Below are 21,879 nucleotides of genomic sequence, written 5' to 3'. Positions count from 1 at the left end.
CGATGCAAAAATCCTCAACAAAATACTGGCAAACTGAATCCAGCAGCACATCAAAAAGCTTATCCACCACGATCAAGTTGGCTTTATCCCTGGGATGCAAGGGTGGTTCAACGTATGCAAATCAATAAATGTAATCCAGCATATAAACAGAACCAAAGACAAGAATCACATGATTATCTCAATAGATGCAGAAAAGGCCTTTGACAAAATTCAATAGCCCTTCATGCTAAAAACTACCAATAAATCAGGTATCGCTGGGACGTATCTCAAAATAATAAGAGCTATTTATGAGAAACCCACAGCCAATATCATACTGAATGGGCAAAAACTGGAAGCATTCCCTTTGAAAACTGGCACAAGATAGGGATGCCGTCTCTCACCACTCCTATTCAATATAATGTTGGACGATCTGGCCAGGGCAATCAGGCAGGAGAAAGGAATAAAGGATATGCAATTAGGAAAAGAGGAAGTCAAATTGTCCCTGTTTGCAGATGACATGATAGTATATTTAGAAAACTCCATCATCTCAGCCCAAAATCTCCTTAAGCTGATAAGCAACTTCAGCAAAGTCTCAGGATACAAAATCAACGTGCAAAAATCACAAGCATTCTTATACACCAATAACAGACAAACAGAGAGCCAAATCGTGAGTTAACTCCCATTCACAATTGCTTCAAAGAGAATAAAATACCTAGGAATCCAACCTACAAGGGACGTGAAGGACCTCTTCAAGGGGAACTACAAACCACTGCTCCACGAAATAAAAGAGGACACAAACAAATGGAAGAACATTCCATGCTCATGGATAGGAAGAACAAATATCGTGAAAATGGCCATACTGCCCAAGGTAATTTATAGATTCAATGCCATCCCCATCAAGCTACCAATGACTTTCTTCACAAAATTGGAAAAAACTACTTTAAAGTTCATATGGAACCAAAAAAGAGCCCACATTGCCAAGACAATCCTAAGCCAAAAGGACAAAGCTGGAGGCATCATGCTACCTGACTTCAAACTATACTACAAGGCTACAGTAACCAAAACAGCATGGTACTGGTACCAAAACAGAGATATAGACCAATGGAACAGAACAGAGCTCTCAGAAATAATACCACTTATCTACAGCCATCTGATCTTTGACAAACCTGAGAAAAACAAGAAATGGGGAAAGGATTCCCTATTTAATAAATGGTGCTGGGAAAACTGGCTAGCCATATGTAGAAAGCTGAAACTGGATCCCTTCCTTACATCTTATACAACAATTAATTCAAGATGGATTAAAGACTTAAATGTTAGACCCAAAACCATAAAAACCCTAGAAGAAAGCCTAGGCAATACCATTCAGGACATACGCATGGGCAAGAACTTCATGTCTAAAACACCAAAAGCAATGGAAACAAAAATCCAAAATTGACGAATGGAATCTATTTAAACTAAAGAGCTTCTGCACAGCAAAAGAAACTACCATCAGAGTGAACAGGCAACCTACAGAATGGGAGAAAATTTTTGCAATCTACTCACCTGAAAAAGGGCTAATATCCAGAATCTACAAAGAACGCAAACAAATTTATAAGAAAAAATAACCCTATCAAAAGTGGGTGAAGGATATGAACAGACACTTCTCAAAAGAAGACATTTATGCAGCCAACAGACACGTGAAAAAATGCTCATCATCACTGGTCATAAGAGAAATGCAAATCAAAACCACTATGAGACACAATCTCACACCAGTTAGAATGGCAATCATTAAAAAGTCAGAAAACAACAGGTGATGGGGAGGATGTGGAGAATAGGAAAGCTTTTACACTGTTGGTGGGACTGTAAACTAGTTCATCCATGGTGGAAGACAGTGTGGTGATTCCTTAAGGATCTAGAACTAGAAATACCATTTGACCCAGCCATCCAATTACTGGGCATATACCCAAAGGATTATAAATCATGCTGCTATAAAGACACATGCATACGTGTGTTTATTGCAGCACTATTCACAATAGAAAAGACTTGGAACCAACCTAAATGTCCATCAATGATAGACTGGATTAAGAAAATGTGGCACATATACACCATGGAATACTACGCACCCATAAAAAAGGATGAGTTCATGTCCTTTATAGGGACATGGATGAAGCTGGAAACTATCATTCTTAGCAAACTATCACAGGGATAAAAAACCAAACACCACATGTTCTCACTCATAGGTGTGAACTGAACAATGAGAACACTTGGACACAGGAAGGGGAACATCACACACCGGGGCCTGTCATGGGGTCGGGGGAGTGGGGAGGGATAGCATTAGGAGATATACCTAATGTAAATGACGAGTTAATGGGTGCAGCACACCAACATGGCACATGTATACATATGTAACAAACCTGCACGTTGTGCACATGTACCCTAAAACTTAAAGTATAAAAAAAAAAAACCAGCAGTAGGATCTCTGGGTCCTGTCAGGCATGGTTTTATGCTTTGTACAGTGGGTCTACTTTGCTTCATTCCTTAGTTCTATCATGTGACCCTTATTCTAGGGTATGATGACTTACTCCTTGGCATAACCCTTATGGTACTAACTGCCTTAGGACTTCTCAGGGAGGCCTCTTCAGTCTACATGACCTGAGTCTCTTCAGCTCTCCATCCTGCAGCAGCTTTTCTAGGAGAGGCTCCACAGAGTCTCAATCCAGGCATGTGTGGCGGCCCAGGTCATAGGCAATGTCTTGAGACAGAACCACATCAACGCCTTGTTCCTCTCTATGTAGCTTTCTCTTACTTGCTCTGCCTGTCTCCGTGCTGATCTCCAATACCTGTCTTGTCATGTTAGCAAGACTGCTGTACTCCGGTTGGGCTCCAGGTTCTTGCTCTACACTGGAAAAGCACCTTAAAGGTAAAGTCTCCTTTATCTCAAGATCATAGTCCCACATTACCTGTTGTGCAGTGCCTGAAAACTACTGCCTCATCTATTTTATCCAGTGATATAGCTATTACCCTCAAAAGAGTATATTCAAAACCACCGACTTCATCCTTGCCAGAAGCAGAAGTCCTCAGAAAATTAAAAGTGGATTTTAAAAGTAAGTAAAGTGAACTTTATTCAAGGCCATATCCAAAATCCATCTGAACTTACCTTAACCTTTTTCACAAGAGAAATTTTAAATCCCCCTTTTTGGGATTTCTTACTAGAAAAATAACTTAGCTTAAGTGAATTACTTTAGAGGTGACTACATATTAGACAGTTTCAGAGAAGATGATAAATTTTCATACCACACAAGCTATGTTGTATAAAGGATAATGACTCACCTTTCTTACGCATGAGACGTCAGTCACCACCAAAGCCCACAGAAGGAGGGTTTGCAACACCGGGCAATTCAGAGGGATTAGGAGTGGGAGACAGTCATTAGTAGCTATCAATAAATCCCGTCCACCTACACCCCTACACATCCCCACAATTCTACCTAGGTCTAAGTTTAATAATGAAAAAAGCCAGATGCTTAAAAATACAAACTGCTTTCTGTTCAATTACAAAACAGTAATCATGCAGATTACAAAAAAATACCCTAGGAAAAAATGTATCCTACTTATATAATTTCCTACCCAATAACTCTTTTGACAGATTCATTAAAAATGTAGCTGAAATATGCTTGTTCTGTAATAACAAATTTTTATTAATTTCAATAGTATTTACCCTGGACTTTCAAAAATAGTTTTTAAACATTTTCTGAAAAACGCTTTCCATATGCATCATTATTAAATTTGAAACCCAGTGATCAATAAAATTTAACTATTATTAACAATTAATTAAAATTATAATGCCAAAAACTTACAGAATTCAAAGTTCAAAAGTTTAGAATCTTATATGGTAAAAGTATAGAGTTCTAGGAAAAATTAAACATAGAAAAAAATTAAAACATGCATTTTATTCACCACTGAAAATGAAGCAGAGAAATCACAGTTGTATTCTAAAAAGAGTCCAAATAATTATTTTAATGCAATGTTTGACTTAAACAAAACTATTCCTACCAAAAAATGTATTGACAATTATCTTCTCATTAATTTAGCAAAGCATGACTGCTAGTAATTACAAATTCCTGGCCTTTACGTTTAACCTTTCATAACACTCTCTTGAACATTACTTTTTTCTATCTTGAAAAAGATAGATAAATTAATAAATTGGGAAATTTGCCAACCTAATTTTAAAGTGATTTTAACAGACAAAACCAAATACGTAGGTACATTCAAAATCCACATGAAGCATGTGTGTACTTAATAGAACATCATCTCTCATTTTCGTAACTGCTCATTAGTACAGAGCTTGAGATCATCAGCAGCACAATAATTGATCTATATCTAGATTTCTTTTCTTATATCCAGTGCTGCCATCAAGCAATGGAGTGCCTTGTCACTACTCTGAAATACTTCTCCTCCATTGCTAATGAAAAAAGTCAAAATCAGGCTGGGCGCAGTGGCTCACTCCTGTAATCCCAGCAATTTGGGAGGCCAAGGCAGGCGGATCACTTGAGGTAATGAGTTCGATACAAGCCTAGCCAATATGGTGAAATCCCATCTCTACTAAAAATATAAAAATTAGCTGGGTGTGGTGACACAGGCCTGTAATTCCAGCTACTAAGGAGGCTGAGGCAAGAGAATCGCGTGAGCCCAGGAGGCGGAGGTTGCAGTGAGCTGAGATCGCACCACTGCACTCCAGCCTGGGTGACAGAGGGAGACTCTGTCTCAAAAAAATAAAAGAAAAAAGAAAAAAGTCAAAATCAGAACTGACATAGTAGACCGATACAGTAACTTACCATGCTCTCAGATTTAATATTTTTTGTACATTTCCAACCTTTTGGGTATTATTAAACCAAAAAAAGATACCCTGAGTTTCTACATAGCTGTTACAGCCTCAATAAGTTTATTTCTTAAGCATCTAAAAATGCATGGGATATTCCAAGAAGAAAATAAACGGTAAGCATCAAATTTAGAAGAGTCGATACTATTCAATATATTATCTCCATTTCAATATCAAAATAATTTAAAGACTCACATTATGGTAATATGCAAATAATTTGCTGATAAATATAATATTAGCATTTAAAAATTGTAATATGCCAAATGTGATTCATTGCACTAAACTAAATAAGCTTTTAAATGTAAATTTCATAGGATTCTTCTACTCCTTTAACCTAAAAACATTTAGCTATGTTTCACACACTTAAATTTATTCTTAGTTGGTCATAAAAGCTGGTCTTTAAACTAGAAAAGGAAGAATTTTTATGATTACAAAAAAGAATTTGAAGTAAGTCTATCAATATGGAAGCAATCAGCTTAATAGGCTCATAATGTGGGGGAAATAACAGAGAAAATTCAGAATTACAAAATTTCTTTCTCCACTTTTTCTAATCAAAATGGAACATCAAATAACAAATACCTTAAAAGGAAATTTAACTTAAGAAATCAAGAAATGCTCATCATCACTGGCCATCAGAGAAATGCAAATCAAAACCACAATGAGATACCATCTCACACCAGTTAGAATGCAATCATTAAAAAGTCAGGAAACAACAGGTGCTGGAGAGGATGTGGAGAAATAGGAACACTTTTACACTGTTGGTGGGACTGTAAACTAGTTCAACCATTGTGGAAGTCAGTGTGGCGATTCCTCAGGGATCTAGAACTAGAAATACCATTTGACCCAGCCATTCCATTACTGGGTATATACCCAAAGGACTATAAATCATGCTGCTATAAAAACACATGCACACGTATGTTTATTGCGGCACTATTCACAATAGCAAAGATTTGGAACCAACCCAAATGTCCAACAATGATAGACTGGATTAAGAAAATGTGGCACATATATACCATGGAATACTATGCAGCCATAAAAAATGATGAGTTCATGTCCTTTGTAGGGACATGGATGAAACTGGAAACCATCATTCTCAGCAAACTATCGCAAGGACAAAAAACCAAACACTGCATGTTCTCACTCATAGGTGGGAATTGAACAATGAGAACACATGGACACAGGAAGGGGAACATCACACTCTGGGGACTGTTGTGGGGTGGGGGGTCGGGGGAGGGATAGCATTAGGAGATAAACCTAATGCTAAATGACGAGTTAATGGATGCAGCACACCAGCATGGCACATGTATACATATGTAACAAACCTGCACATTGTGCACATGTACCCTAAAACTTAAAGTATAATAATAACTAAATTTAAAAAAAAATGAATTTCCAGGCAGTCTGGAGCAAGAAAATGTATTAGAAATTTATTAAACTGCTTTGTTTAAATAGAAAAAAAATCAAGAAAATGTAAAGCAACCAGAGACCTTCCCCAACGCCTTAGATGCATTCAAGTCTGAGGACCATCTGCATTTTATCATAGTGCAGAATCCCAAAGAGTTACATTATCACAGCTGGTTCACAGGAATCACAGATCATAGACTACACCCAACTTCAATGGAGATTAGTGAAGCATATAGTAACAACAGAAACACAGGCAGTAACAAAAAAGACTTCAACTGTCTCTCACAGTCTCCAAAAAATTGCTTTTTTTCAAATGGGATGCAGTTTGGTTCCAGAATAACAGATGAATGCTCATTATGTGTGTGGTGCAAGCTATCTCAGAAAACAAATAATAATAAGTTTAAGGCTTCTTACTTATTTCTCATGCAGATAAAGAGCTCATTGGACTAACTTCCACTCTCCAGCCATAGGCATCAAATAAACCCACGAATTCCAGGTTTAGTTATAGTAAGTAATCGAGATAGAAAAAGAATACCCAAATAAAAACATTCTTATATTTGAACCTCCTAGGTCATCTTTCTGTTACTAAATCTTGGAATGTTTACAGGAGGCCTGGTGGAGGTCAGCACCTGGCCCAGATTGTCTTCAGGAAAGGAAGGGGGGATTTACATATCACAGTTAACTCCTTCCTTCCCATTAGGGTGCTAATGGACTCATAACTATGATTTCAGAACCGTAGTAAGGTGTTTACATATTCATGCTACAAAGGAATGAAAGCCCCATTTGGGTAAACATCTCATAAGAGGGTACAGGGCTGGGCTGATAAAATTCACATCTCTTCTAAGCTGACTGCAAAAATACATAAGTAAACAGATGATTTCCTAAAAGCCTGTTATATTTGACCAACATTAGATTTGTTGGTATTAACACTGTGGCACAACAAGAACTTGTCATAGACATGCATCTTGATTTCGGGAAGGAAATGCAGACAAGGGCCAGTACTTCCTATAAAGAACAGAAAGAACTGTCTGCTGCATGATAGAAGAATGGTGTAGTTTTATCATTACAGTAACCAAAACATGTTTATCAATTGTATCACTGACCATCTTAAACTGAAAAACTAGTATATGGTATAGGGCCTTTTTAAGGCTTTTTTCTATTCAGGTATTGTTTTTGTTTTGGAATGGAGAAGAACTATTAATACATAAAAGCAAAGAAGTCATGTGTTAGGTGATACAAAGTTGAAAAGCAGCATAATTTTTTTAATTAAATTAAATAACAGAACTCCCACAATTAGAATTCAAGAGGTTCTCAGCTGGTTGGAATGATTGGCTGAAATCAACAAAATAATATGAACAGACATAATTAAAAAGCACTAAATTTCTATTTTAATCTAATATTTCTTTAAGTATAGAACAAAGATCAGCAAACTATGGCCCAAGAGCCGAATATATCCTACTATCTGTTTCTACAAATAAAGTTTAATTGAAACACAACCACCCCAGTGATTTCTGTATTGTCCATGGCTACATGCTACAGCTGTGGAATTGAGTAGTTGTGATGGAGACTGAATGACCTTTGGTATCTAAAGTATTTGCTATCTGGCCCTTAACCAAGAAAGCTTGCTAATCCCTAGCTCAGAATGATGGATTCTCAGACTGACAACAGTTTATGTGAAGATCTGAAGTTTTAGTTGATAATAAGCTAACAAAAATTTTAAAAAAATTAATGCCATCTTAGTTTGCAGAACTAAGGAAAAAATAGTAGCTATGACCGCTAGGGCTGTACGTGTTATTTATACCACTTGGCAGGCCATAGTTAGAGGATTGGATGGAGTTCTGAATGCCTCACCTTGACAGGGACAGAGACAACCTGCATAGCGCCCTCAAGAAAGTAACCAGATGGGCAACATGGGTAAATGAGTTGTAAGAATAACCTTAGTAGAAGCTGGCAGGTCTCTATTCTTTGAAGGACAAAGCTGGTACTGAGTACAATTTGCAATGTTTTGGCAAAGTATAAGAAGTCTTTTTTGAATGTTAAATGTCCAACAAAGTCGCCAATTACTTGAGAAATGAGGACTTTTGTCTTTAGCCTTCCTGTCGGAGAACCCAGAGAGAGACTCACTGCTTCTCATTGGGGATATTATTTACTATCGTAGGCAAGAATTCCTCGTTGCACAGGACTTCCTGTTCATCACTGGCGTTAGCATTTCAGTGCTTTGGGAACTAAGTAACCACAACACTCATATCCCCCATACTCCCAACACTATGATAACCTACTTGTCTCCACACAGGCTTAAATGTCCTAGGCGAGTAGAAAAGTACAATGCTGCCCTGGGTTAAGAATCAAGTTGGGATGATCTGCTGTATGAATTCCAAAGGAAAATTATTGAATAACTTGAATCTAGGAACAACATTTTCATTCCAAAATTCTATCCACTTATTCCCTCATTTATTCATTTGTACAACAATCCATTTATACAACAAACAATTGAGCAGTTTTCCTGGTAGAATCTATGATTCTACTGTTTTATCTGAGACTGGTTGGAGGGCAGATATTTTTTGTAGGTTAACGTTACTGCCTCTATAATAGCCACATCTCTGTGAACTGTTCAGCTGAGCTACGTAAATAGCACAACGCTTCCACCCAGCAATCCTGCCCCTCACCGCAACATGGAGGCAAGTGGCTTCCAGCTCATAACACATCTCTGTGGAGTTTCCCTAAGTGTTGTGGATAATAAAGCTGAGGAACCAAAATATTTCAGCATTCTAGAATGTTCTTTGAAGAATCACTAGAGCTGAAATCAATTCTCTCTTCACTGACAAAAGTGACTGTAGTAGATGATCTCTAAAACATAATTTTTTTAAAACGGGGAAAAAATCCCAAATCCTCTCTAGTGCTATCACACCAATGAGACCCTTCATATCCTGAAAAAATTAAAACAGCTAACATGAGTCTATTTATTGTTGGTACTCTTTACTATGTGAAACTCCAGCATTATGCTCATTATGTAAGGAAGACATTATATTATTGGTTGGGATACAGTACAATTGAAATTTTCATTTCATTTCATACTAACCCTGCAAACTTCCTGATACTACCATTTCAGATATACCTCAGCTCTTAGGAACACCTTGATACTTCCTCCCAGACAAAACACCAAACAGTTCTCAATTCCCAGCTGGAGTCAGTTCCATTTAAAACTTTCTTTTCTAAAATTCCCAATTTGGCGGCCACCTACAAATCTTGTGCTTAAAGACAACAGTAAGAACAGATAAGTCAAAGAATTTATTGGAATAAAAAACCTCATTTGTGGTCCTATCTTGTTGTCATGAACTATTTTGTTGAAAGTTTGGGTCACAGTAAATTTCATCCATGCTGCATTCCAATCTTGGCAGAATGCAGAGCCACTTAGATTTATAATTTGAGTCTTTGACTCTCTATATTATTTCTAACTAAAACTAAAGCAGCCTGTAAAGACGTTAAAATGTATTTTGGATGTTTTTTCTTATGTTTCTTGGTTTATACTGAGAAATGTGATGAATATGTATGTTCTTATGAGTGACATTTAAAAATATCAGTTATGTTTTTAGTACCAATTTTTAATATTTTCATAAGTTTTCAAATGAACAGGAAGAAAAATTATTTCACAAGACATGCTAAACTTCAATTGAGCCAACCCTTCAATACTGCTCTTGTTTTTCACTGGAAGGCATTATGCTAAGTGAAATGAGCTAGGCACAGAAACGCAAATGCCACATGCTCGCACTTACATGTGGAATCTACAATAATTGAACTCAAAGAATCACAGAGTGAAATGCTGGCTACCATGGGTTGGAGATTGGCAGGAGTAATGAGGAGATGATTGTCAAAGAGTATAAAGCCAATTAGAAAGGCAGGATAAGGTTTTTTTTCTTTGTGAAATATTGCACAACGTGGTGAACACAGTAAATAATAATGTATTATACATTTCAAAATTGCTGAGAGTAAAAATGTTTTCATCACAAAAAATAAATATTTGAGGTGATATATGCATTAATTCGATTTAATTATTCCACATAGTTCTCATAAATTATAACTTTTTTCTTCATAAATATATACAACTATAATTTTTAAATTTATAGTTTAAAATTTAATTAAAAAAACACATTGCATATGAGCTGAAAGTACAAAGCCTATAATATGGGCTGGGCCCAGGGGCTCATGACTGTAATCCCAGCACTTTGAGAGGCCAAGGAAGGATGACTGCTTGAGCCAAGTAGTTCATGACCAGCCTGGGCAACATGGCAAGACCCTATCTCTACAAGAAAATTTTAAAACTTTGTTGGTTGTGGTCACACATGACTGTGATACCAGCTACTCAGGAGACTGAGGTGGGAGGATCACTTGAGCCCAGGAGTTCGAGGCTGCAGTGAGCTGTGATCATACCACTGCACTCCAGTGCTGACAGAGTGAGACCCTCTCTCAGAACAAACAAACAAAACTCTGTGATCTGAGTTACAAAACAATGGAAAAATAAAATAATAATAATAATAATAAGGACCTCCGCATTAGCTAAAGAAAGATAAATTAAGTAAATTGTTTTCATTGTTCGTACTTTAACATAAATTACTTTTTTATACTTAAAGGAAAGTACATGGAAATTTTTAGAGAATAGATAGACTTATTATACCCCATGTTTTGTTTTTATGGCTTCCTATAAAACAGTGAATCTCGTGAAATTATGCATTATATGCATGCTGAGGTTTTCCATCCAAAGACAATGTCAGCAACATTAATGAGCATTATCAAATGCCACACAAGTCAAAGTTGCTGACCTAAAGTAACTCACAATTGAGTATCATTAACAATATAGGACTGTGAAAGGAAAAACATACCTTAAGGTGGATCCACATAGTTTAATAAGTAATACATTTTCAGAAATGTGATAATAAAATCTACGTATTTGAACACTGAAGACAAGTGTCCCCAAGCTTATTTTCATAGCCTTTTAAAATTTGCTATGCACCCTGTATTAGCTAGAATAGACTAGCACCCACAGAAAGGAACATAGTCAAAGATAATCAGGATTGTATACCTAGCTCAGCAGTGGAGTAAAAAAAATAATGGGCGACTCCAGAGATATACTGTCTACTCTTTCTCAAAAGCAATTTTCTAGGGAATTGGAATATGAGGAAGTATAAGATCAAGAAAGAATTCCATAAACTGGGCAATTTTCAGCTTATCAAAGAGCTGTGTTGCAAAGAAGTGTTTGAAAGTTGGTTGTTTGGCACTCTCTGGGGTTAAAAATGTTTTTTCATAGCCCAGGAAAGCCTAGCTAAGGCACAGTGCTATTGATATATAGCATGGCCATAAAGTATTAGTAAAGTTGCAAGCAATACTTATCCACCATGCACAGGGGTTTTATTGAGCAATGTTCTTCTAGATTCCAGAATTACAAAGAATACATCTCCCGCACATTACATCCAAACTCAAGACAACAGCAGGGTCCTGTGACATCTGGAACAGCAATGACAGGGACAGATGTTGTACAGGAAGATGTATTTCAGACAGCAACAGAGAGGGTCACATTTTAGTGAGCTAAAGGAAAAAGTCCCACGTACCAGAAATGCAATAACTGTACTTAGAAATGTTAAGAGAGTTTATGTTGCCTATTTAGAGAGCCCTTTTCTCAAGCTAGTATCCCTGGTCAGGCATTCCCAGATTTGTAGTATTATGCATATACAAGCTACCCAACCAGAACCATACAAAAATAGCCTTTGTAGCAGTAGAGAGAACCTGGGTATAGACATTCATGGTGTTAGGTTGGAATCTCAGCTCTGTTTATCGGCCAGCAATGTGACCTTGGGTGAAACACTTAACTGATGTCTCCTTTTCCCTATCTATAAAAGAGGGATAATACTGACTGTGTGGAGGGAAGCTTTACAAAATATGAAGAGTTATGCACAATACCTAACATAACAGGTATTGCATAAAACTTGAGCTATTTTTATACCTTCCCACTTATTGAAATATTGTCAGTGGTGATGTCAATTTCTGATAATTTTAGGTCTTTGGAGAAATTTGCAGAACAGCCATTCTCCAGTCCTTCTTGCTGAGAGATCCCTGACTCTGGTCATGCAGCTAGGTGTCCCCCCAGAGGATAGATCACACTGGACTAAGCCATGACCATTTTACAGGGATTGATCCAGGGGAAGACAGGGACCCAATTCTGGTCAATTAGATATGGAAAGAAGTATGAACAGTCTTCTAGATATGGACAGTCTTTCTCTCCAGACAAAAAGAGAGCTGTGAGAGAGAAGAGGCTGTTCTGCATCTGTCCTCTTCCTTCTCCAGTTGAGTATTTTCATGTGGAAGCATGAGGCTTGTAACTGCTGACGGCATATTGTAGCTAAGCTGGAAGACCAAGGGAACCTGAGAAACATCAACTGGGAGCCCTACCACTGTTGAACATTATTGAATCCCAACCCAGCAACTATTTCTTCCTTGATTTCTTACTATATGAGATTTGTTATTAATAAATACCCATTGTCTAAATCTGTGCTTCTTAAACACCCTGTAGTTAAGAAATTAGATTTTTTAAAATTTTCAATCAGTTGAGGACAAAAACTATTGTAAAATACAATAAAAACAAATTCCTAGAATAAATGACCAGCCACTGGATGTCATGATACATTAAAGTTGCTATAAATGTTTCTAAATGCATGCTCTTAATTACTTGGCTACTTGCAGATCAGAAATAAACAGTTTGTATTCTGACCAACAATCTATGGGACATATTTTCAGTAGCACAAGTTTAAGCAATTTTTTCCTGAATTCTCTGCTTCCTATGACCAAAATCATCCTGATGGTGTAGGAAACATAATAACTCATTTACCAAGAAGTCAGTGAATACCTATTGAACAACTGTTAGGTGTATATCAGGACACAAGCACTGTGGGGAATACAAAAGCAAGTAAGGCAGGACCCTTTCTATCCTTCAAATAGAAGAAAAATATATATGAATAGTAAAAGGTTAACTAAAAAGTAAAGCAATGTGGAACATTAGCATGAAATAATAGTGTAGAGAAGACAACCACCTTATAATATTAAATGTATTAATGTCACATGTTATCTGCCAAGAGAATCATAACAAATAATTAAGGGAAACATAAGAAACTGCAGATATTTAACCTAAAAACACTGAAATTTTACCATGTTTCACTGACTTAGTAATCTATTAAAAAGGAAACAAACTGGCAAGTTTTCTGTATAAGGAAAAATGTTTTGCAGGAAAATCAAATTGAATGATCTGTTCTATTGCTTCAATTCTGAATCATATCTACATGCTCCAAAATTGTCACTGTGGAACACAATAAGAGAATTCTATTTATATTTTGTTATAACTCAGAAACCAGAATTATTATGTTTTTGAAAGTAATATGATATCATGCAAACATGTTTGAAATGTAATTACTGTACTACAGCAATGATGGATGTGATGCAGGGCAGATGCGCCCCATAACTGGGGCTTAGCCTGGCAGGTTTTGGGTTCACCCAGGGAATAATTCAAGGGCAAGCCAGTGGTCTTAGCAACATTTACTGAAGTGGCAATGCACAGCAGCAGCAGAGATCCTGCTCCTTGCAGAGCAGGGTTACCCCATAGGCAGTGTGCCCAGAGGAGCAGCTCAAAGGCAGTTCTGCAGCCATATTTATACCTGCTTTTAATTATATACAAATTAAAGGGTGGATTGTGCAGACATTTCTAGAAAAGGGGTGGTAACCTTTGAGTTGTCGGGTCACTGCCACAGAAAGGGGCAGTAACTTCCGGGTGTTGCCATGGCAGCAGTAAACTGACCTGGCACACTGGTGAGCTTGTCTTAGGAAGAGGCGCTTCTCCCTCTTCCCTGTTTTAGCTAGTCCTCAACCTTGTCTGGTGTCTGAGCCCCGCCTCCAGAGTCGAGTCCCGCCTCCTGACTCAGATGGAGCCAACTACAACTATTACATGAGACATATGTTACAATTTCTCAAGATTTCCTTTAAATTACATAGTATGTAAAACTAACTCATGCTACGTTTCCCTCGAATATGTCTGAAATTTTGATAATATCTATTTAAAATAATCGTTTTTCTTTCATATGTGTATATTACTAAAAGGGGTTTGACATCATTTAATAAGAAGGCATGCATATGAAGAGAGAAATCTTAATTTATTTTAATATGGTAATTCCTACCAAGGTTACATAAATCTCGAACTATTTCATGTCACACTCTAAAGTAGTGGTTTTATGATTGTTTTCAGTAGTATAACTCCTTTCCCAAATTAAGTCTTATTTAGACTCCAGTGTTTTATAAAACATAGAATCTTATTTATTTCACTCAAAATCCTCTGAGCCTTCATTTCCTATGGAGTAAGGCCAGGAGAGGGGTCCAGGGCTCCTTGCTTGGTGTCCCCTTATTTCTCCCCTCTGAGGAGTCCAAGAGGAGACTTTCTAGGACCCAAACATAGGACAGAGAAGAGTGAACAGAGGGACACAGTAAGGAGAGAAGGAGGGTGAAGAGACCAAATTCCCTTTAAAGCAAAGGAGAACTCAATTTAAATTAGTTTTGTGGGCCATGGAAAATTCTGAAAAATAGGTCCCCAGGGTACTGTTCATTGGCACTGTGGCCTTATGTGATAAATGCAGGAATCACACCATATTGAGGCCACTAACTTTCAGATACTTAAAAATCTCAAACTAAACTGGAAAGACACCACACACAAAGGTTAAAAGTATTGAATTGTTTTAAATTTCCTTGTGTCCAAAAATCTGAAGTCACCCGGTTACAGTGTTAATGCCACATCTTTGTATAAAAATGTGTACTATAAAAATACAGCCAAAAAGTTTTCACCATGCAGAGCTTTCCAGCGATTCTACTTCAGAGTGTTAAAAATTTAAGTGTGAATAAAGAAGGGAATAGGCTTGAAGACACAAATAAAATACAAAATAGATTTACTTTCATATTTAAATAAAGTTACATTATTTTAAATTTATGTTAAAATGTATAAATATTAAAAATGTTTGTTTTGCCAATGCCATGTACCAATTACGTGTCTATAGATGTTTACTGAAAGCTGCTCAGTTTATTTCTTTGCCTCCAATAATGGCTGTATCTACCTTTTTGGACAAAAGTTTCCCCAATCTACTCTATTCTACAGATCTTCAAAGAAATAATTTCCCAAATATTCTTCCATAAGCATCACAACACATCTTGTTTAGACAAAAGTGTTTACAGAATTTGATTATGCCTGGCAGTTTGTAGAAGAGATTAATTATAGAATAGTCACTTTCATGGCTTTACGATGAAGAGAAAAGCAAAGAAGTAGTAGAAAGAAGGATACGTGTACTCTCAAGCCCGAGGTAGCAGTTTTAAATAATGATTTGGGCAGTAGACAGTTAAGAATACATCACTTATACACTGACTTAAAATTAATGCCAAACTCCTTTTCTGTAATGGCACCTTTTATGTACCTGTTTCATCCATGATGTGCTGCCATGAGCTGTATGCTTCTGATATCACTCTTTTCTTAGGTCAAGAAAGTGGCCATGTTGGAAATATCACATGGCTCCTTTCTCAGCCATATGGGTGGAAAAGGTCAGATCATAAAACATTGCTCTAGGTGACCTCCAAGAGTCTTCATGAGAGTGTCACATTCACAAAACATGTGGCTAGTGAGAAAGATTCATGGTGTGACGCAGCCAGGCTACAGTCCCAGGAGCAGTGGCACATGCACCGTGATGTTGTAATTTTACCATCACAATGGACAGCTGGACAGATCAAGCTGCAGCTAGGGTCCTGCAGGGTGAGGATGCTGTATCATAAAAATTGGAATAGAAGCCTCTGTGCTTGTATCTTTCTCAGTAGTAAGAGCTTGACATAGAGCATAAGCAGTAGCTGTAGCTAACTTCAGTGCCAAGTAAACTCCAACTGCATCTTATTATATCCATAGGCCCAGACCAATAACATAGGGTAGAATCACCAGTTAGCAGGTACCAAGACTTGGGAACCACTAAGGAAGCTTGAGAACCAAGTGGGGAAGGAGTAATAAGGAAGGTGCCCAAGTTTCTCTAGTCAGCCACTTACAATATCGTTACCTTGTTATTCTTCCCACTTCTAAAAAAGAGAAGTTTAAGTATTTGATTTAATTAATGTTTTAATGGATACCAACTGAAGAGCTGAAGATAATATACACACTGTCTTGACTCTGTCAATATTGGCTCAGGAATTGGGGTGGGTCAGAACATGCAAAGTGGGACAATAACACCAGGAATGGAGAAAACAGGGCAGAAGCAGGTGGCCAGCGGGGAATATATTCCTTTCAACATTCTGAGACAGCTCCTTAGGAGGCAAATAATCCACCATTAGGCTAAGCAATATGAATTCCCTCATTTTTCCTTCTGAACTATTTCCAAATTAGCTTCCTCTTCAAGTTTGACTGTATAGTTTCGAAAATACTTCACTATTAGAAATATGAAACTATCATATTCCTTTGTTTAAATATATCTGACCAATGTTCAGTGGATTGCTACATATATTTAGCAATTAGCCTATATTTAGGCATTCCAATATTTACAGCTTAAGAAAATATTACACTTCTGATTCATCTTTTGTCTGTAGTTTATTACTGTTTAGATCTTCGTACTCAGGACTTTCTTGTAAATTGGCATCATTGCATGTATCGAAGTTCATATATAAATACGTAATATGGTCCTGCCCAAAACACCATTTCCTCTATACTTGAATGGAAAATAAGTCCAAAAATATTCAACGATTTTATTCCTTAGGTCTACAGATGAAGAGTATTAAATTTGCAGTGGTTTACTACACTATGTTTTCAGTCACATCTATTTCAATCTGGGCCACCTATTTCTAATGTCATCTGATTTTTGGCTACTATCATAATCATATACCAACTTGGATTAAGTTACGTCACATTAAATATTGGTCCTAGAATACTAGTCCTGTCATCTAGTTGTGATTCTTCACCCATACATCCATGAGGTCAGCCTGCAGTACTCACTGGAGCACCTTGGAGAAATGCTTGGCTGCCGAGCAGCTGATGGCCCATCAGCGTAATTCTGATGCCTGTAGGATAACAGTTCTCCACTGTTTTTCCTTTCCTTTTGGGCCATGAAAAGCACATAGGCATTACAGCTGACACTTAATCCAAATGTACATTCCAGATTACCTCTTCATTTAATATAAAGCAAACTACATATTGACTAAAGAAGTACATTTCTGTTTTTATAAGACCTTTGACTACCATTCTCCTAAGAGCATTTTAAACCTCTATTTGGTAGAATGAAAATTAACCAGGATTTTGGAAACAAATTAAATTTTATGATAACTAAAAATATAAAAATACAAAGTTTAAACATCTTAAAATATGTTTAAATACAATTATCTTTTTAGCCTTGATGTGGTCCTCTAAATGTGAAAACAATATTATTTCCTAAATATAGTGGGACAAAAATCAAGAATTTGGAATTAGAATTCATGCAGAGTTTTGCAAATACCAAACCAGTTTTTCATCAATAAGGAAAATATACTAAGACAATTAATATGCTTCACTTTGTGTTGTGTTGAAAGAAAAACTGAGCTATAAAAATCATATTACTTATATCTTTAATCAAAACCTCTGCCCTCTAATAAATGTATCATTAGTAGGGAAGGAGTTAAAAAGTGTGTATAAAGACACTTTTGGTTGAGCCAAACAAACATATTAATAATAGATGACCAATGTGCCTCTGTATGACATAGGCTCTGTGAAATATTACAAAACGTTGTCTTCTACTTGTGAAATGCTTCAACAGAACCACGTGCGGGAAGAGCACATCCCTAAGGACAACTCCATCTGTGTATTTCCAACCACAGCTCTCTTGTAGATGAAAAGACTCTTAGGGGATCTTTGCAAGCCTCCTAATGGTTCAGTGGCTTCATCTAATACTTCCCTCTAATTGGCCCTGCATTCAAGACACTCTGTCAGTGGTCTGGCTGCCACATTCAAATCTTTGGCAATCACAATACTACAAGGCCAAGGAAGAGTTTCCCAACAGACATCAAAAAGAATTAGTGGCTTAAACTTTTACGGAGAAAGAAGACACTTGTGAGTGTAGGTCCCAGTGGTATTAGCAGATTATATCCGGACAGTGAGAAAGCTTTGTCAGAAGTGGTTCATCGGCTGAAGAAAATAGAGCATGCAAAAACTGCAAAATACTTGGTCTGCAGAAAGCTTGCATTTCATTCTTTTGTTTCAGGATAAATTGGGATTCCTCCTGAGGGATTCCAAAAATAGATGTCAATAATGAGGGAAAGCTACCTTCTACCAACAGAAATGGCAAAAACAAAACAAAAGAAAAAGCCGTGTCCCAGAGTTAGTGTCTCTTCTTACTACTCAAGTCATCTGGATTACATTTTTAAAATCACATTTCATGTAAAGAAATTGTTTGCTTAAATAATTACTCTTCACAACAGGTTTGACCTAAGCCCAGAAGAGTGACTCTTTTTTTTAATGCAGTCACAATACCAAAATCTAAGATCTAATCTAAGATCACACACACACAGTTTTGTTATCTGCATTTCTACATTTCTCATGCTTTAAGCAATAGCATAACATATAATTTCAACATACTCCTTAATTTTCCCACATTTCAGTTTTCTCATCTGTGAAAGAGAATATATTAATATCTGCCTCATGAAAATAAGAATGATACAATGGAATTTGAAGCACAAGAGGATTTTGTTCCGCATTGTAACAATGATTGCTTTTTAAAATAATTAGAAAAGAAATTTTATGAGCTAAATAAGTTTTGGTGTGCTCACAAATAAATCACCTTCCTGAAGCCTTCTTCAAGATAGAATATTTAGTATTTTGATGTGGGGACAATGGAAAATGCAGATTATCCCAGCCTGGAAGAACCAGATGTGGGTGTCAAAAGGTATTTCAATCATTTCACCATTGATTACTTGACATCCTTGTGGAAGAAGCTAATTAGGACCAATGATGCCAACAGGTGGAAGAACTGGGTGTTGGAGTAAGTCCAGCTTTCCTCATGGGAACTAATCAACACTCATTAAGCAGAAATAACTTTCCCTCATAGTGAGAGATTCTAGATTCTAGTCACTCACCTAGAAGTGCAACCTATAACCCATTATCAGTTCTGAATCATTTAGCCACAGATCAGTTACCAACAAATCAGTTATGCAATGTGCATGAACACTTTAGGGAGATCCAAAAGCTATTATTAAAACCAAAGGATTTAATATTGTAATTTTTTGAAAATAAAAACTTCTCTATTATGTTTAAACAATTTTACAGACGTATTCAAAGCAATAAATAAAACACTTAGGTTATAAAATATACTTTCTATACATGCATTAATTAGTTACATTAAAAGCTTATGAATCAGTTCCAATTTGGTACAAGGAAAAAAACTGGCCTTATGAAGAAAGCCCCTGCCTGGTGATATGCTAGTAAATAATTTAACAACTGGCCTGGGGAGCTTAAGAATGATATTTCTATGATATAAACACTTCATAAAAAAATTTTAGCTACCAATATGATGTCACTGGATGTACAATTGGGAAGAGATACTCAATAGATAATCCTCTGTTATACAGAATTTCCACCATACAAACTGTATGTAAAATACGTACCGTGTAGATGTAAAATAACCCCCAGAGCAGAGATAACAGTATATTGCAATAAAATCATTAGAAAGTGTTGACTTTTAAATATGTATACTTTTGTTTTTAATATAATTTAATTATAAGTTTATATAGTTAATGTTTAATAAAGCTGTATTTAACAACTGGCTCACATGATTCCTGGAAACCCACCAGGAAGCTATCCCCAGTTGGTATGAGTCAGCTCCAGCCCATGACTGCCTGCATCGGCCGTTCACCATCCAGATATAAAGCAAATGAATAGAAGACAGAATGGAAATCAAAGCAAGTTTTACATTCTCAGAGACATTTAAGATTCAACAGAAGAGGCTTCAGTATTGAAGCATCACACACATAACTGCTTTGGAGCGAACAATGGCTCTAGATGATTTCTTGAGGACCTTTTGAAGCTAAGAAATGTTACTTTTCATAAACTATAATTTGAAAGAACTTCATCAAGAATTTATATTTTAAATACAAATTTGGTAAAGAATTATCATTAACAACAATTTATATATCCCATTGTCTTAATTATGATCATTTACAGCTAGTTACCAGCACAGGAAATATAACTTGAGTGTAGAGCATTCCTGTTTGTACCTTAATTAACCAATTAAACCAATCAACATCTGTAGCCTATGGCTTCCCACATGCAAACTCTTATTATACTAGATATTAATCAATACCAAATTATTACTGTGTCTCTCATTACTGGAATAGAAACTTTCAGAAATATATTTATGACTTATCGTCACCCCTGTTGAGCTCATATCTCTTACGAGAAACTGATCACTAAAATCCTCTTTCAATACTTCTTGTTAATAAAGGAACAGAGCATTCTAAAGAATGCTACTCTATGCAAAAAATGAAAGAAAAAAATCTAAAAAATGAATAATATCATTAACACTGCCAAGATCTTGCTTCCCTTAACAATAAGCTATCTAATTCTTGCAATTAGAGCCCTTGTCAGTACTCCAACTCCTGCCGCCCACCCACCTTCACCTTCGTCTCCTTTTACCAATGGATAAATGTTTCTCCTCCAGTTCAATGAACTGCAGATGCTCTTACCAGTGTCAAACAGAACAGCAACCTACCAGTTCAAGTGTTTCACATTCTCCAACTTAAGTCAACGCCTTCATCTGATTTTTTTTGTTTATAACTATGCTCATCTTAAAATATCTATTCTCCTATACTCTATCAAGACCTAAGGTAAGAATGTTCCATTACAGGGCATTCATAGCCTACCTTCCATTTTATTTCAATATCTTTGCAAAACATATCACATTAAAAATGTAAATTAGATAGTTTGTGCTATATGTCATTTGCTTGTACTACCATTTAACTGGCATTTGGAATACTAATCATTGATGAAGTATTTTAGTCTAATATTCTATTCTGCTGTAGATGCATGTTCACACACATTAACACTAATTAGTTTTAATGGGGATTAAAAGCATGAATTTTTGATGCACCTAAGAAAGAAGCTATACCAAATATAACCTTATCAAGTATTTGCCAAATAGTCTTCCTAAAATTGACCTCAAAGCATCCACTAATTGGAAAATCTCTCCTCTTTTTCAAAATTAATGTTACTGAAAAGTGCAACATAGAAAGTATTATAAGAAAATCAAAATAAGCAATAAAGAATAATTTGTGGTTTTCTTTTTAACTTCTCATTGTTGTCCAAAATACTATAAATCTTAACTTCCACATTAATCAGCTTTATTTTAAAAATAAGTAATATATTTATTCTCCCATTGCATATCATCTGCACAATGTTATTAATCAGCCAACTCTCAACATGTAAAGCCAAAAGGCACCAATACTCCAGCACTATGCCCACCATACCCTTCATGCAAGCAGAGCAAGTGCTGAATTTCTGTGTAACACATGAACACCTTTGTGCAGTGTACAGAGTGCACAAACTAATATTAAGGCCTTGGGCCAAATACACT

The 21,879-nt window shown here is 36.4% G+C and overlaps 1 protein-coding gene across 6 annotated transcripts in view; it reads right to left on the bottom strand.

Annotated features, from left to right (window-relative positions):
* Positions 1 to 21,879, bottom strand: part of NKAIN3 (sodium/potassium transporting ATPase interacting 3) — a 750,799-nt gene that overhangs the window by 718,848 nt on the left and 10,072 nt on the right. The gene's annotated exons all lie outside the window — the stretch shown is intronic.

Source organism: Homo sapiens, chromosome 8 (assembly GCF_000001405.40).
Source record: "Homo sapiens chromosome 8, GRCh38.p14 Primary Assembly".
NCBI lineage: Eukaryota > Metazoa > Chordata > Mammalia > Primates > Hominidae > Homo > Homo sapiens.
Note: the sequence above shows the minus strand (reverse complement) of the source record. Positions and strands in the feature narration are given on the sequence as shown.